This window comes from Homo sapiens, chromosome 9 (assembly GCF_000001405.40).
Source record: "Homo sapiens chromosome 9, GRCh38.p14 Primary Assembly".
Classification (NCBI taxonomy): domain Eukaryota; kingdom Metazoa; phylum Chordata; class Mammalia; order Primates; family Hominidae; genus Homo; species Homo sapiens.
Window position 1 is genome coordinate 124,053,695 of NC_000009.12, and position 15,994 is coordinate 124,069,688.

At 47.8% G+C, this 15,994-nt stretch overlaps 1 long non-coding RNA gene across 1 annotated transcript in view; it reads left to right on the forward strand.

Annotated features, from left to right (window-relative positions):
* Positions 1-15,994, forward strand: part of LOC107987037 (uncharacterized) — a 48,715-nt gene that overhangs the window by 18,047 nt on the left and 14,674 nt on the right. The window contains exon 2 of the long non-coding RNA XR_001746580.2: positions 8,286-8,369. This is a non-coding gene — a long non-coding RNA (uncharacterized LOC107987037). The remainder of the gene's footprint in view (positions 1-8,285; positions 8,370-15,994) is intronic.

The following is a 15,994-nucleotide window of genomic DNA, read 5'->3' on the forward strand; positions in this document are numbered from 1 at the left end:
GGTGTGATTCACCCATGGTGTTGCACGTATCAGTGGTTTGTTCCTTTTTTACTGCTGTGTAGTTCTCCATTGTAGAAATGTGTCACGAAACATTGATCCGGTCTCCTATTGATGGGCATTTGGGTTGTTTCCAGTTTGCCAGTTTGGGCCATTATGAACAAGTCTGCTATGAACATGTGTGTCAGGCCTTTTGGTGGCACTCACATCTTGGGTGTATACCCAGGAGTGGAATTGCTGGGTCATAGCTGAGGTGTATATTTAACAAAGCCTGTACTTAGTACTTTTGTTATAAGAGAAACTTGGAAAAATCAACGAGAGATTTTTTATAACTTTAAAAGGAGTACATACAAAAAGTTGTTTGGGAGGTGAGCCCAGAGTTCTCTGGGGCCCCAGTGGCAGCTTCTGGAGTGTGTGGCTTGGATTCCTGAGGGGAAGGTCAAGTTGGGCATGGAGCAGGGAGGGAATGGGCTATACCTGGGCCCTTTCAGGCCCCTCCCAGGGAAGGGAGGGTAAGGTCTGCCAGGATGCTATCATAAGGGGCAGATCTGATAGGTGCTCCTATAAAGAGTCTGACTGGGGACCTCACTCTCACCACCTGTGCAATGGGCTAGTGCATGGTGGACTCAGTGGCTTCTGAGCCTCTGATGTCTTTGGGCATCTGCTTGGGAGCCTCCTCTTTCAGCCCCTACATTACGGTCTGTGGCAATACCGACTCTGGAAGGTTTTAAGGATGGGGGGATGGTCCCTGAGCCCCAAAGCTTCTGCCAGGGTGAACCCTGTGGATCAGGGCCCCAGAGGCCTCCTCCCACCCCCAGCCTTGCCCCAGCTGTGCCTCAGGCTCTCTGGGAGCTGGGGGGAGACAAGGGGAGCCAGGCTCAGTTTTTTTCATGAAGCCGGAGCAGCTGCTGCCCAGAGTTTGGGAAGCTGTTGTTCTGCCAGTGGGGTTCCCCAAGGGAAATACCAGTGCCAGGGTCCTGAGCACAGCCGGGTGATCCAATCACCCCCAATGAGCTCAGGGCTTGCCCCCATGCCTAGCAGCTGAGCAGAAGCACTTAGCAGCCCAATCAAATACTTCTCAGTCTGGTGAAAACACTCAGCAGTGTGTTTAAATGACTCAGCCACCCAGCGGCAGTGCTCAGAGGGCCAGTGAAGTTACTCACTGAAACTAGAGTAATGCTTATCAGTCTACAGTAGCATTCATTCATCTGGGGGAAAAACAAACCCCAAAAACTAAACCAATAACCACAGAATGGTTCTGAGTCCTTATCTTGGCCCTGGCCCTTCTTTGCTGTGGTTTCCTTGTAGGGATGTCCACCCTCTTTGTGGTTTGTTGGGATAAGTCAATGCGCTAATGTCTAGAAAGGGCTTCTCGTAGTGGTTGGCATGCAGTGGGCTTTCAGCAATATTTACCGAGGGCCTGCTGTAAGCCAGATCCTATTGTTGCAATTACTCTGGCCCTTGGGGAGGCAGTCCTGGGAGGCGGAGCTTTGGGCAGGGACAGTTTCTATGAACAAAATGCATGAGCTTTAGTCATGGCTTGAAACATTATGTGAGCCTTCAGAATTCTTTTATTTATTTAATTAATTTATTTTTTTGAGACGGAGTCTCGCTCTGTCACCCAGGCTGGAGTGCAATGGCGTGATCTTGGCTCACTGTAACCTCCGCCTCACAGGTTCGAGTAATTCTCCCTGCCTCAGCCTCCCAAGTAGCTGGGATTACAGGCAACTGCCACCACGCCTAGCTAATTTTTGTATTTTTAGTAGAGACGGGGTTTTGCCGTGTTGGCCAGGCTGGTCTCGAACTCCCGACCTCAGGTGATCCGCCTGCCTCGGCCTCCCAAGGTGCAGGGATTACAGGCGTGAGCCACTGTGCCCAGCTCAGAATCCTTCTACAGTGTTCTCTCTGGTCCTCCATTGGCTGTGGTTTAGAAAGCCCAGATTCATTCCTCCTGCCTTCCCATTCTCCCTTCTCAACCTCACCCACCGTCAAGTTCTCTTCTGGATACTGGGCTTCAGAGATATTGGATTTGGGCCCTGTGAAAACAGGTGATTAGAACACACTAGAAGGTGTAGTGAATCTACTGACAATATAAATACAGTTAAGTTTCTGTCTGCCCATTTGTCTGGTTCCACATCATGAGCAAATAGCTGGAGGAATTACTTGAAGGGTATGTTTGGTTTGATCTGACTTGGTGGCTCAGGATATAGGGGGAGTGGGCCAAATAGATGGGCAGGGGTCTTCCAGGGTTTCTCAAATCGATGGCTGATGACAGGCTATTTATTTGTTGATTGTGAGGCCGTGTATATTAAAATGGCATAGACAAAGAAAACAAATGGGTTTTAAACGTGAGCTCCAAATGGGCAGACAATATGGGTGTTAATTCATGATCAAGCTGCTGATTACTGGCAACTCCAGATAGCTTCTTAATGATGAGTAGAAGTAGGCATTGATTTCTTTTACTATGGATAATGATCTCCCCAGCTATGCAGGAGAAGCCAGTTAGTAGCAATTACAGGAACAAGCATCAATTAAACTTTCTTTGTGTGATGCACCATGCTAGGCACTAGAATGCATTTTGTCTCCCTGACTCCTCACAATAGCCTGGGGGTGGGAATGCTTATTAATTCAGAGAGGTTAAGTAACTTATCCACCTAGTAAGTGGTAGATCCAGGATTCAAACCCAGGTTTACCTGTCAGATGGCAACGTCCATGCTCTAAATCCCTTGTCTACACTGCATTCTGCCTTGGGACGCTGCAAACTCATCAAATTCAAAACTCCCTCTCCTTCTGTCTGGAACTATAAAGTGAAGAAATTAGGGTTGCTGGATATGAAATCAACCTAGAAAATCCACAGTGTGCTACAAGCAATGACCAATTAGAAAATGTAGCTGGGGGCGGTGGCTCACAGCTGTAATCCCAGCACTTTGGGAGGCAGAGGCGGGTGGATCACGAGGTCAGGAGATCGAGACCATCCTGGCTAACATGGTGAAACCTCGTCTCTACTAAAATACAAAAAAAAAAAAAAAAAAAGGAGCCAGGCATGGTGGCCGGCGCCTGTAGTCCCAGCTACTCGGGAGGCTGAGGTAAGAGAATGGCGTGAGCCTGGGAGGCGGAGGTTGCAGTGAGCCGAGATCAAGCCACTGCACTCCAGCCTGGGCGACTGAGCAAGACTCCGTCTCAAAAAAAGAAAAGAAAATGTAAATGTAACAGAAAGAAAGATGATATGAAAAGTGTAAGGGCCCAGTAATCAACTAACAAAATGTGTGTAACAACTCTATGGATAAAATACAAAGTATTATTGAAGAACACACACACTCAAGAATAAATGAAGGTATGTATCATATTCATGGAAAACAAGACTCAATATCATCAAATGTACTTTAATTTTTCCCGATTGATTCATAAAATCAGTGCAATTAACTAAAATTCCAATAAGATTTGTCATCAAACTTGTTAAGCTGATTCTAAAATTAACACAGAAGGATAAAAGGGCAAGAATAGTGAAGGCCAATCTGAGATAGAATGAGGTAGGGGTCTTGCCCAAACCAATATCCTTAGTTATTTATTTATTTATTTATTGAGACAGATTTTCACTCTTGTTGCCCAGGCTGGAGTGTAATGGCACGATCCCGGCTCACTGCAACCTCCGCCTCCTGGGTTCAAGCGATTCTCATGCCTCGGCCTCCCAGGTAGCTGGGATTACAGGCACCTGCCACCAAGACCAGCTAATTTTTTGTATTTTTAGTAGAGAGGGGGGTTTCATCATGTTGGCCAGGCTGGTTGCGAACTCCTGACCTCAGGTGATCTACCCGCCTCAGCCTCCCAAAGTGCTGGGGATTACAGGCATGAACCACCACGCCCAGCCAATGTTCTAATTTATGATAAAGCTTTGATAATAAACACATCCTGGTTGTTAACACAGCGATAGACAAATAATGGAACAGAAAAGGGAACCCAGAAATTGATCCAAGTTATATGGGACCTTGGTGTATGATCAAAAGGCATTACAAATCTGTGGAGGGGAAGCATGGACTATTCAAAAATGGGGTTTAGAAAAGTAGCTATCCCTATGTAAAAATTAACCTTAGATCCTGTCTCACATCACACACAAAAATAAACTTGAGATGAATTAATGACCTAAATGTGAAAAACAGCTTACAGAAGAAAAGTTGGAAAATTTCCCTATGTCTTGGGATAGGGAAGGAGCCCTTAAGTCACAAAAGCTAGGCGTCATAAAGGAAAATATGAAGTTTAAGCTCAGCCGCATCAAATATTTCTGTATAACAGATAAACTACCTGCAAAGTTAAAATTCCAACAATAGTCTGTGGGAAGGCATTTGCAGCATATATTACAGATATAGGGTTAACATCCAAAAGATACAAAGAACGCCTATAAATCGATAAGAAAAAGACAAACAACCCAATAGAAAAATGGGCAGAAGACCTGAACACAAAAAAGGAAACAGGGAGAGTGAATAAGCATAAGAATCAAAGATGCTTAACCTCTCTTTGTTGATGATTAAACAACAAAGAGAGGCCAGGCGAGGTGGCCCAACACTTTGGGAGGCCGAAGTGGAAGGACCACTTGAGCCCAGGAGTTTGAGACCAGCCTGGGCAACATAGTGAGACCCTGTCTCCAAAAAAATTAAAAAAAAAATTTTAAATTTTAACCAGACATGGTGGTGGATGCCTGTAGTTTCAGCTGCTTGGGAGTCTGAGGTGGGAGGATCACTTGAGCCCAGGAGGTTTAGGCTGTACTGAGCCGAGACCGTGCCACTGCACTCTAGCCCAGATAATAGAGTGACACCCTGTCTCAAAAAAACAAACAAAAAATCCCCACAAAACGACAAAGAGATTCCATTTTATACCCCTCAGATTCACACAAGTTGGAAGGTTTGACACTATTAAGTTGGTGAAGATGCTGGGAAAGCTGAACTACTACATTCGAAGATACTACAATTTGACGATACCTATGAAAGTCAGAAATACGCACACCATGTGACTAGTAGTTCTGCTGCTAAGAATGAACTCTAAAACCCTAGCACATTGGTCAAGGAAGCATTGTGGACGTTAAACTTGGAATAACTCACATGTCTGTCGGCAGAGGAATTAAATAAATCTGTTACCTATTTATTTATTTATTTTTATTTTTACTTTTTTTTTGGGATGGAGTTTTACTCTGTAGCCCAGGCTAGGGTGCAGTGGCGTCATCTCAGCTCACAGCAACCTCTGCCTCCCAGGTTCAAGTGATTCTCCTGCCTCAGCATCGCAAGTAGCTGGGATTACAGGCATGCACCACCACACCCAACTAATTTTTGTATATTTTTAGTAGACAGGAGGTTTCACCATGTTGGCCAGGCTGACCTCAGGTGAACCACTTGCCTTGGCCTCCCAAAGTGCTGGGATTACAGGCGTAAGCCACCGCCCCTGGCTTGTGTTATCTATTTATAAAGTAGAACACCATACAGTAAACTAAATTGAGCTACATATTGAGTTTTGTAATTGAGTTACCTATTTGAAATCTGGTTAATTATTTAAAAGTATAATTTTGATTTTTAAAAGTGTTATGGGTTGAATTGTGTCCTCTATAAAGGCATGTTAAAGTCCTAATTCCAGGTACCTAGGAATGTGGCCTTATGTGGAAAGAGGGTCTTGTCAGATGTATTCAAGTGAAGAGGAGGTCATTGGATTAGACCCTAATCCAATATGACTGATATCCTCATAAGAAGAGAGATGTTTAGACATGGACACACACAGAGAGGAGAATGCTATGTGATGGCAAAGGCAAGAATTGGAGTGACACAACTCCAAGCCGAGGGACCGAGGGACGACGAGGATTGTTGGCCATCAACAGAAGTCAGAAGAGGCAAGGAAGGATTTTACCCAGAGTCTCAGAGAGCACATGGCCCTGGTGACACCTTGCCTTCAGACTTCTAGCTCCTAGAACTGGGGCAGGATAAATTTCTGTTATTTGAAGCCACATGGTTTGTGATACCTGTTACAGCATCCCTAAGAAACAAATACAAAAGTAAGTTGAAAGGTTATAATATGACACTGTATTTGACTGTTCTCATATTGCTGTAAGGAAATACTCAAGACTGGGCAACTTATAAAGGAAAGAGGTTTAATTGGCTCACAGTTCCACATGTCTGGGGGAGGCCTCAGGGAACTTACAGTCATGGCGGAAGGCACAGGAGAAGCAAGGCACCTTCTTCACAAGGCAGCAGGAAGGAGAAGTGTCGAGTGATGCAGGAAGAGCCCCTTATAAAGCCATTGGATCTCATGATCACTCATTCACTATCATGAGAACAACATGGGGGAAACACTCCCACGATTCAATTATCTCCACCTGGTCTTTCCCTGGACATGTGGGGATTATGGGAATTACACTTCAAACCGAGATTTGGGTGAGGACACAAAACCTAACCATATCAGACACTATTTATTTAAAATTTTAAAGCATACAAATAGCAGTACTATATATTGTTTATGGTTTTAATGAACTTAGAGGCTGAGTGCAGTGGCTCACGCCTGTAATCCCAGCACTTTGGATGGCGAAGGTGGGAGGATTGCTTGAGCCCAGGAGTTCAAGTTTAGCCTGGGCAACATAGCGAGACTCCTGTCTCTACAAAAAATTAAAAAATTAGCAGGCATTGTGGTATGTGCCTGTGGTCCCAGCATTTGGGAAGCTGAGGCAGAAGGATCTCTTGAGCCCAGGAGATTGAGGCTGCAGTGAGCCATGATCGCATTATGGCACTCCAGCCTCTGGCTCTGCCTCTGTGTAGAGAAGGGAAATGAAACGGAGGGGGATGAAAAGGATTTCAATTAAAATATCTTCAGCCGGGCAAGGTGGCTCACGTCTGTAATTCCAGCACTTTGGGAGGCTGAGGAGGGCGGATCACCTGAGGTCAGGAGTTCGAGACCAGCCTGGCCAACATGGTGAAACCCCATCTCTACTAAAAATACAAAAATTAGCCAGGTGTGGTGGCGTGCGCCTGTAGTCCCAGCTATTCAGGAGGCTGAGGCAGGAGAATCACTTGAACCTGGGAGGCAGAGGTTACAGTGAGCTGAGACTGCACCATGGCACGCCAGCCTCCAGCCTGGGCAGCAGCGGGGGGTTCTGTCTCAAGGAAAAAAAAATCTTCAACATCTGTTTCTTTTATTTAAAAATGTCTAAAACACAACTAACAAATTGTTAACATGTATTGACTCGAGTGGTGGGTGCATGGACATTTGTTACACTCTATTCTCTGGATTCTCTGTTACTATATGTATCTGTGACCATATAGGTATCTGTGTACAAAAGTGAATTTCCAATATTTGCTCAATGGGTGTGTGCATCTGTGTGTGTTTCCCGTGTTCCTGCTGGCTCTGGCGGTCTTGCTGGTGTCTGCTGTATGAACTCACGTGCTGCCCCGGGCGAGGTGGGAGCAGCCTTGTTGGGTCTGCACCCGGAGACCGTGGGTGAGGAGTGCAGCTAGATGGTGTACCAAAGGCCTGCTTTCTTCCTACCTCTTCCTGGTGCAGCTCTTGAGTTTCCTGGATAACACAAATATTACAGTGAGAGGCCATGGGGGCAGAGGCAAGGCCAGGGGCTGCCTCTTGACCAACTCCTCAGTCCCCTCTGAATGACTGGCTTCCTAGCAGCCAGGACCATCGATGGCAGAGGCACCGAGTTAAGAAAGCAGAAACGATGCAGGGTCAGGCGGGGAGAGAGCTGGGCCGGGCAGGGTCTTCCCTTGCCGAACACTGTCTCCTTTGGGACCATAAGCAAGTGGCTCCCGTCTCTAAGCCACGCACTTGGTCAGGCAGATGACTGGAAACAGGTTGACCAAAGTCACACATTGCCACGTCACGCTCCTGCATCCGTGGAAGGCATCGCTCAGCAATCACAGCACGTTTTCTGTCTGAGGTTCCATGCAGTCTCCAAGCCCTTCTCCAGCAGGGCTCAGAGACCCACCCCACGGTCTCAAGGAAGAGGGAAACCTTCCCGGGCTGCAAAGCGAGGAGCGCTCAGGGTCTTTCTGACTTGAATGCTTTTTCACTTCAACCTCCTGGGGGCAGAAAGACCCTGGAAGCCCTCAGTTACCTCATCTGGAAGATGGGGATGAGGCTCCTCTTTGCCTTCCCACGCTGCTGTTAGACTAAAGGAGACACGAGATGCAAAACACACACTCAGCCGATGACACCGAGCCTGCGGGAGGGACGCATGTGTAGAGGCTGGCACAGTGACTGGGAGGTTCCTGGGTCTGTCCTTACTGTGTCTTCCCTCCCTTCTCCCCTAGGCTGGAAGGGGCAGCCAAGATGTCCTGGGCTCCATCAGACACTGATGATTCCATTCCGTGTCATGCTCACTCGAACCCTGCAAGGTAAAAAATAATAATAATAAGGAAAGAGTAATAAACACACAGAGCACTTCCACCTCCTATGGGCATGCATCTCCTAAGGATTTCACATATATGAACTCATTTAACCCTCATAGGCACCTTAAGAAGTAGATACTATTAGTTCCCCATTTTGTGGATGAGAAAAACTAAAGCACAGAGAGGGTGAGCCACTTGCACAAGTTCACACAGCTAGCAAATGTCAGAATGAAGGTTTGAACCCAGGTAGCCCTGAGTGTGAGCCTTTCCTGCCTTTCATAAGGCCAGTGTTGCCACTCCCATTTCACAGATGGGGAGGCTGAGCCTTGGAGAGGACAAGCGCCCATGTCTCCCAGGCCACAAGTGGGCGGTGGTGAGTTCAAGCCTGCCTGCCTTTCCCCAAGCACCATCCAAATTTGCCCTGGGTCCTTCATGTTCTAGGGAAGAATTGCAGGACTCAGGGGCCCCAAATTGCAGGAATCTTAGACACAATACAGACCCACTGCCCTCTGGGAAAGGGTGAGGCTGCCACCTGGAAGGATGGAAATGTCTGGGGGGCCCACGTGGACAGCCTTTTGGGGGCTGAGGAGGGAACAGGGTCTGAGATTGCCAATGTGGCTGGGCCCCTCTTAGGCAGGCTGACCACCTCTTACTGTCTTGGGCCAGGAGGGCAGGTGACGTGGGGTCATTTCTGGGCTGTGCCCTATTTGTCTATGCACACTTGAGAGAGACCAAGTGTCTTGTCCAAGATCACATAGCTAAGAAGTCCTGGTGTTGAAACCCGGCCTCGGTGGCTCCTGAGCCAGGGTCTTCCTGCCCCTGCTTGTCTACGCACAAGCCTCCTCCTTGGACCCCAGATCTCTGCAGCTCCTCCCACAGGGTTATTTAGACCTGTCTCTACACAGAGCAGATGCCATAGGGCCATGGGGATGGCGGCCATGCTGGAGGGACCAGGACTGGCTTCGGAGCCTCATACGCAACCCCCAACCCCCAAACTCATACATACTCTCATGCAGTCACCGCAGACACTCTCAGTCACCACATGACTGGCACACCCTCACACTCAGTCTCAGGCTCACACTCATAAATGCACTATTAGTGGCCACTACTGGGGCAGGAAGACCCTGGCTCAGGAGCCACCCAGGCCGGGGTTCGACACCAGGACTTCTCAGCTATGTGACCTTGGCCAAGACACTTGGTCTCTCTCAGCCTTATTCTCATCTGTAAAATGGGAATAATGAGGCCCGGCACAGTGGCTCACGCCTGTAATCCCAGCACTTTGGGAGGCCAAGGTGGCTGTCATCTGAGGTCAGGAGTTTGAGACCATCCTGGCCAACATGGGCCCCTCCTTAGGATCTGGCAGGGGTGACCACCTCTTGCCCTCCTGGGCCAGGAGGGCAGGTGAGGTGGGGTCATTTCTGGGCTGAAATGACCCCATCTCTACTAAAAATTACAAAAAAAATTAGCTGGGTGTGGTGGCCCATGCCTGTAATCCCAGCTACTCAGGAGGCTGAGGCAGGAGAATCACTTGAATCTGGAAGGCAGAGGTTGCAATGAGCCAAGATTGTGACACTGCACTCCAGCCTTGGAGACAGAATGAGACTCCATATCAAAATAAATAAGTAAATGAATAAATAAATAAATAAATAAATAAGTAAATAAATAGGGCGTAATGACCCACTAGAAACCTCTCAGCGAACCTGATTGGTTCCAAGTCCTTGGTCAGGTAATCAAAAGGTTGGCAGAAAAGGTAGCAGGGTGCATGGCTCACGCCTGTAATCCCATCACTTTGGGAGGCTGAGGTGAGAGGATCACTTGAGGTCAGGAGTTCAAGACCAGCCTGGCCAACATGGTGAAACCCCATCTCTACTAAAAATACAAAAATTAGCCCGGCCTGGTGGCAGATGCCTGTAATCCTAGCTACCCGGGAGGCTGAGGTGGGAGAATCGCTTGAACCCAGGAGGCAGAGGTTGCAGTGAGCAGAGATCGCACCACTGCACTCCAGCCTGGGCGACAGAGCAAGAGTCCATCTCAAAAAAAAAAAAAAAAAAAGAGAGAATCTTAAAAATAGATTCACAAATACCTTAACTGTTTGATATAACATGAAACAATCTGTGTAGGCCAAAGCTGCTGCTTTGAGTTCAGGTCTTCTGGCTGGAGTTCTGCCTTGTTTGTTTTGACTGTACCCATTGGCCTTGCTGACGATTTTCAGTCCTTTTTAAAATGATTTGTAAGTGGAATGCGAGGACACTGGCAAAGCAGTTTGAATCTGGAATTCTACATTGTTATTATCCCCCTCCCACCCCAAATCTCTCCCAAAACTAAATCAACAGATTTATTTTTAGCAATGCGTCTTTATTGCATATTTCCAAAGCATTAGATTTAGTTTTTCTCAAAACATTACTTTCTTTTGCAGTCAGATTTCATTACTTTTTGTTTGTTTAGCTAACTATAATTACGACAATAGACACAAATTAGCCAAAGCTTTTTGAGTACAGACTTTCCTGATTCTGGCAGCTGACAGCTGAGTCAGTGGGAGGAGAGCTTGGGCAGGGTCGAGAATGCTCTAGAAGCTTAAGCCATCAGCATTTCTGGGCAGCATCCGTGTGCCTTGGCAGGGGGATGGAGGGCAGCCATTGGTCCAGCGAGTTGGTTAAGTGCAGGCTGGTTAAGATAACACCTGCCGGACCCACCTCACAAGGCTACTGGGAGGATCAGAAACAATTTAGGTCTCTCACCCAGCATGTGAGGGCCTGCAATGACCTGCCGCTCAGGCTACTGCCAGGCATCCCAGGCCCCTTGCACATCTTGTCATAGCACTTGTCGCTCCGGCCTGTGAGGGTTTCTTTTTCTGTGTGTGTGTGTGTGTGTGTTTTTTTTTTTTTCTGAGACAGATTCTCGCTCTGTCACCCAGGCTGGAGTGCAGTGGCGCGATCTCGGCTCACTGCAAGCTCTGCCTCCCGGGTTCACGCCATTCTCCTGCCTCAGCCTCCTGAGTAGCTGGGACTACAGGCGACCACCACCACGCCTGGCTAATTTTTTGTATTTTTAGTAGAGATGGGGTTTCACCATGTTAGCTATGATGGTCTCGATCTCCCGACCTTGTGATCTGCCCGCCTTGGCTTCCCAAAGTGCTGGGATTACAGGCATGAACCACCGTGCCTGGCCGAGGGCTTCTTGAGGACAGAGATGGGGTGTCCTTCCTCTCTGTGTCCTCAGGGTCAAGTGCTGGGGTCTGCTGTGGAGTCTGGTACTTTACCACACACCATGGGCTGCACACACCTGCACAGGTAGGGGAGGGGTGAGGCACTGGCCAATGCCAGGCATCCTTTTGGAGACCGGGGAAAGACCCTGCCTTCACCATCCCATATTCAGTTCTCCTGTGAGTGCCTGCATGCTGGGGCCTGCAGCCCAGGTGGAGTTCAGGCAGCTGTGGGCTGAGCCAACCTCATGTGCCAGCCCTGAATGGAGGGAGGGAGGCAGGTGGGCCAGACCCTCCATCTGGCACCCCACAGTGGTCCCTGGGGTTCATGCCTTTCTGTGACCTTCCAAGTTGACATGCCCCAGGCCCCCTCTGGGTGACCCTGGGCAGATGCCCAGCAGGAAGAGATGGTCTGGGGCAGGGCAGAGGGTCCCATTATATTCAGCAGCCCCAGCCTCCAGGGTCCCTTTGCTGTGGAACAGGTGCTGGTATTGTTCCCTCCTCCTGCCCCAGACGGATGGGGGTGTTTGCCCATTTGCGGTGAGGTAGGGAGGAGGAGGCGGGGAAAGGGCAAGGAGAGCTGTCACTCATTAGAGAGGGATGGTTACTCATTTGACCTCTTATTTTATGTATGTATATTTTCCTCATTATAAAAGTAAAATGCAACTGCTAAGTATATGAGAAGATGCTCAACATCATTTGTCATTAGAGAAATGCAAATTAAAACCACCATGAGAGGCTGGGCGTGGTGGCTCACGCCTGTAATCCCAACAATTTGGGATGTTGAGGTGGGCAGATCACTTGAGGCCAGGAATTCGAGACCAGCCTAGCCAACATGGTGAAACCCCCTCTCTATTAAAAATACAAAAATTAGTTGGGCATGGTGCCGAGCACCTGTAATCCCAGCTACTCAGTAGGTTGAGGCAGGAGAATTGCTTGAACCCAGAGGGTGGAGGCTACAGTGAGCCGAGAGTCGTGCCACTGCACTCTGGCCTGGGCAATAGAGCGAGACTCTGTCTCAAAAAACAAAACAACGGCAACAAAAAAACCACTGTGAGATATTGCACACCCACTAGAATGGTATAATAAATAAAACAGGCATGGTAGCTCAAGCCTGCAATCCCAGCACTTTGGGAGGTCGAGGCAGGCGGATCACTTGAGGTCAGGAGTTTGAGACCAGCCTTGCCAACACGGTGAAACCTTGTCTCTACTAAAAATACAAAATTTAGGTGGGTCTGGTGGCGAGCGCCTGTAATCCCAGCTACTTGGGAGGCTGAGGAAGTAGAATCGCTTGAACCTGGGAGGCAGAGCTTGCAGTGAGCCGAGATCGTGCCATTGCACTCCAGTCTGGGCGACAAGATTGAAACTCCGTCTCAAAAAAAAACAAAAACAAAAACAAATAAGACCCACAATATTAGGGAGGTTGTGGAGAGGCAGGGACCCTTGTGCATTACTCGGGGGAATGTATAAACTGAAGCAGCCACTTTGGAAAGCAAGTTGGCAGTTTCTCAAAAAACATAAAACTACCATACAACCCACCAAGTCCTCTCTGAGGCGTGGCTTCTACCCAAGAGGAGTGAAGACATGTTCACAAAAAGACTAACTCATGAACATTCTTAGCAGCATTGCTCATAATAGCCCCGAACCAGAAACAATCTAAATCGCCCATCAACTGGTGAATGGGGATAGACAAAACTTGTTATATCCGCACAATGGAATATTACTCAGCAATTAATGGGAACAAACCACTGACTCATGCTATGGCAGGCACAAGCCTTTAGAAAGATGCCAGATACAACAGGCCACATATTGTGTGATTCCATTTCTAGGAAATGTCCGGAATTGGCAAATCCATAGAGACCGGACGCAGATTAGTGGTCATGCATAGCTGGAGGTGGTGGGAATGGAGATTAACAGCCAACAGGCCAGAGGGAACTTAAGGAGGGATAAAAATGTTCTAAAACTGATTTATGATGATGGTTATACTGCTAGGTAAAGTTACTAAAGCCATTGGATTGCATATTAGAAGTGTGCGAATTTTATGATATGTAAAATATATCCCCAAAAAGTCGTTTCGAAAGATAAAGTGCATATTTATAATAAAAATGCTGACACGACATGGACCATATACTAGTCAATATATGTTGGGTACTTACCCTATGTCAGGTGCTACAGCTTAGAAGGTAGTTGTATTAATAAGTACTTATAGTAAGGGAGTTAAATTAATCCTTATTTTATGGACGGTGAATCTGAGATACAGAGAGCTTAAGAGACTTGCCTAACCCTGCTGAGGGTCGAAACAGGGGATTGATTCAACTAATTGAGTTTGCCTGGTACCCTTGTAGTGCCACTAACTAGCACAGTGACTTTGGCAAGCCATTTGATAATTGCCTGTCTCCATTTCCTCTTCTGCAAAGTGGAAGTAATGATATTTATCTCAGGGAATAATGACGGTTAAACGAGACGGTGAAACAAGAGATTACAGAATATAGAGGTCCTCGTCATGCCCACTCAGCTGCCAGGCACAGCAAGATTGTCCTTGGCTGTCCCCTGAAGATGTCCAAAATGCCCTCTAATCTGTAGGGGAGAAATGGGAGCCAGAGGTAGGGGGGTAAGATTCCCCCTTCCCCATCTCTTTTTTTTTTTTTTTTGAGACAGAGTCTCACACTGTCGCCCAGGCTGGAGTGCAGTGGTGCGGTCTCGGTTCACTGCAACCTCTGCCTCGCACATTGAAGTGATTCTCCTTCCTCAGCCTCCTGAGTAGCTGAGATTACAGGTACCCATCACCATGCCTGGCTAATCTTTTGTATTTTTAGTAGAGACGGGGTTTCACTATGTTGGTCAGGCTGGTCTTGAACTCCTGACCTTGTGATCCTCCTGCCTTGGCCTCCCAAAGTGCTGGGATTACAGGCGTGAGCGACCACTCCCGGGCCTGGGTTACTCTTTGTCTGATGGGCCCAGAAGCAGCACTACCTGGGCCTAGGGCCTCGTTGGATCTATCTGAATCCCAGTTCCTTCAGCCTCTTGGGCCTGGATCTATCCAATTCCAGTTCCTTCAGCCTCTTGGGCCTGGATCTATCCAATTCCAGTTCCTTCAGCCTCTGGGCCTATCTCTCTCCCATAGACATCTGTAGAAAACAGGATGGTTGCTCCTAACTCTTCACTCCCTCTGTGTGTAATCGGATTACACAATCACACCCTTTGCCACATGACTTTGCAGTGCCTCCCAGTAGAGCAGGCAGTGTCCATCGCCACCTGATTTAGGATTTGGCCCTGTGACCTGCTTCAGCCAAGGAAAGGTTAGCAGTCATGATGCACCCAGAGCTTTAAAAGTACTTGTGTCGTTTGCTTGGCCTCTTGGGCATCTTACAGTGGTCATGAAAAGAGCATGCTCAGGGTAGCTGCTGCCCCCAAAATGAGAGTCATGTGGAGCTGACTTGAACCTGACCTGAAGCCTGGAGCCAAACCCAGCCAACCCCAGAAAATCCCATAGCACAGCCACAGGCTCATGAGTAAAAAGCAAGTACTTCTTATTTGCCATTGAGTTTGGGAACTGTTTGTTATGCAGTCAATAGCTGACTAATGCATGACTCAAAACCATCGCTTTCACCATGAGGTCTTTGTACCACCACACTCCCTTCTCTAGGCTCTTCTACATCCAAAATAACTTCATCTGGCCAGGCATGGTGGCTCACACCTGTAATGCCAGCACTTTGGGAGACTGAGGTGGGTGGATCACCTGAAGTCAGGAGTTTGCGACCAGCCTGGTCAATATGGCGAAACCCCGTCTCTACTAAAAATACAAAAAATTAACCAGGCATGGTGGTGGGTGCCTGTAATCACAGCTACCTGGGAGGTTGAGGCAGAATTGCTTGAACCTGGGAGGTGAAGTTTCCAGTGAGCCAAGATCGCGCCACTGCTCTCCAGCCTGGGTGACAGAGCAAGACTGTCTCAAAAAACAAAAACAAAACCAAAAACAAACAAAATAACTTCTTTTCGACAATCATGAACCCAATACTAAAACTTCCACAATTTCTAACTCATGCTAAAGATGACCAGCTTAGCAGTTCCACAACCAACCAGATTCTAATTTCTGCTTTGGGCTCAGCTGTTCTACACAGTAATAGCAATGGCTATTCTTCTTGAGGACTTTCTGGCATAAAAAGCCCTTTCCTGGCCGGGCGCGGTGGCTCACGTCTGTAATCCCAGCATTTTGGGAGGCCGAGGCAGGTGGATCACGAGGTCACGAGATCGAGACCATCCTGGCTAACACGGTGAAACCCTGTCTCTACTAAAAATACTAAAAATTAGCCGTGCGTGGTGGCGGGCGCCTGTAGTCCCAGCTACTCAGGAGGCTGAGGCAGGAGAATGGTGTGAACCCAGGAGGCGGAGCTTGCAGTGAGCCGAGATCACGCCACTGCACTCTAGC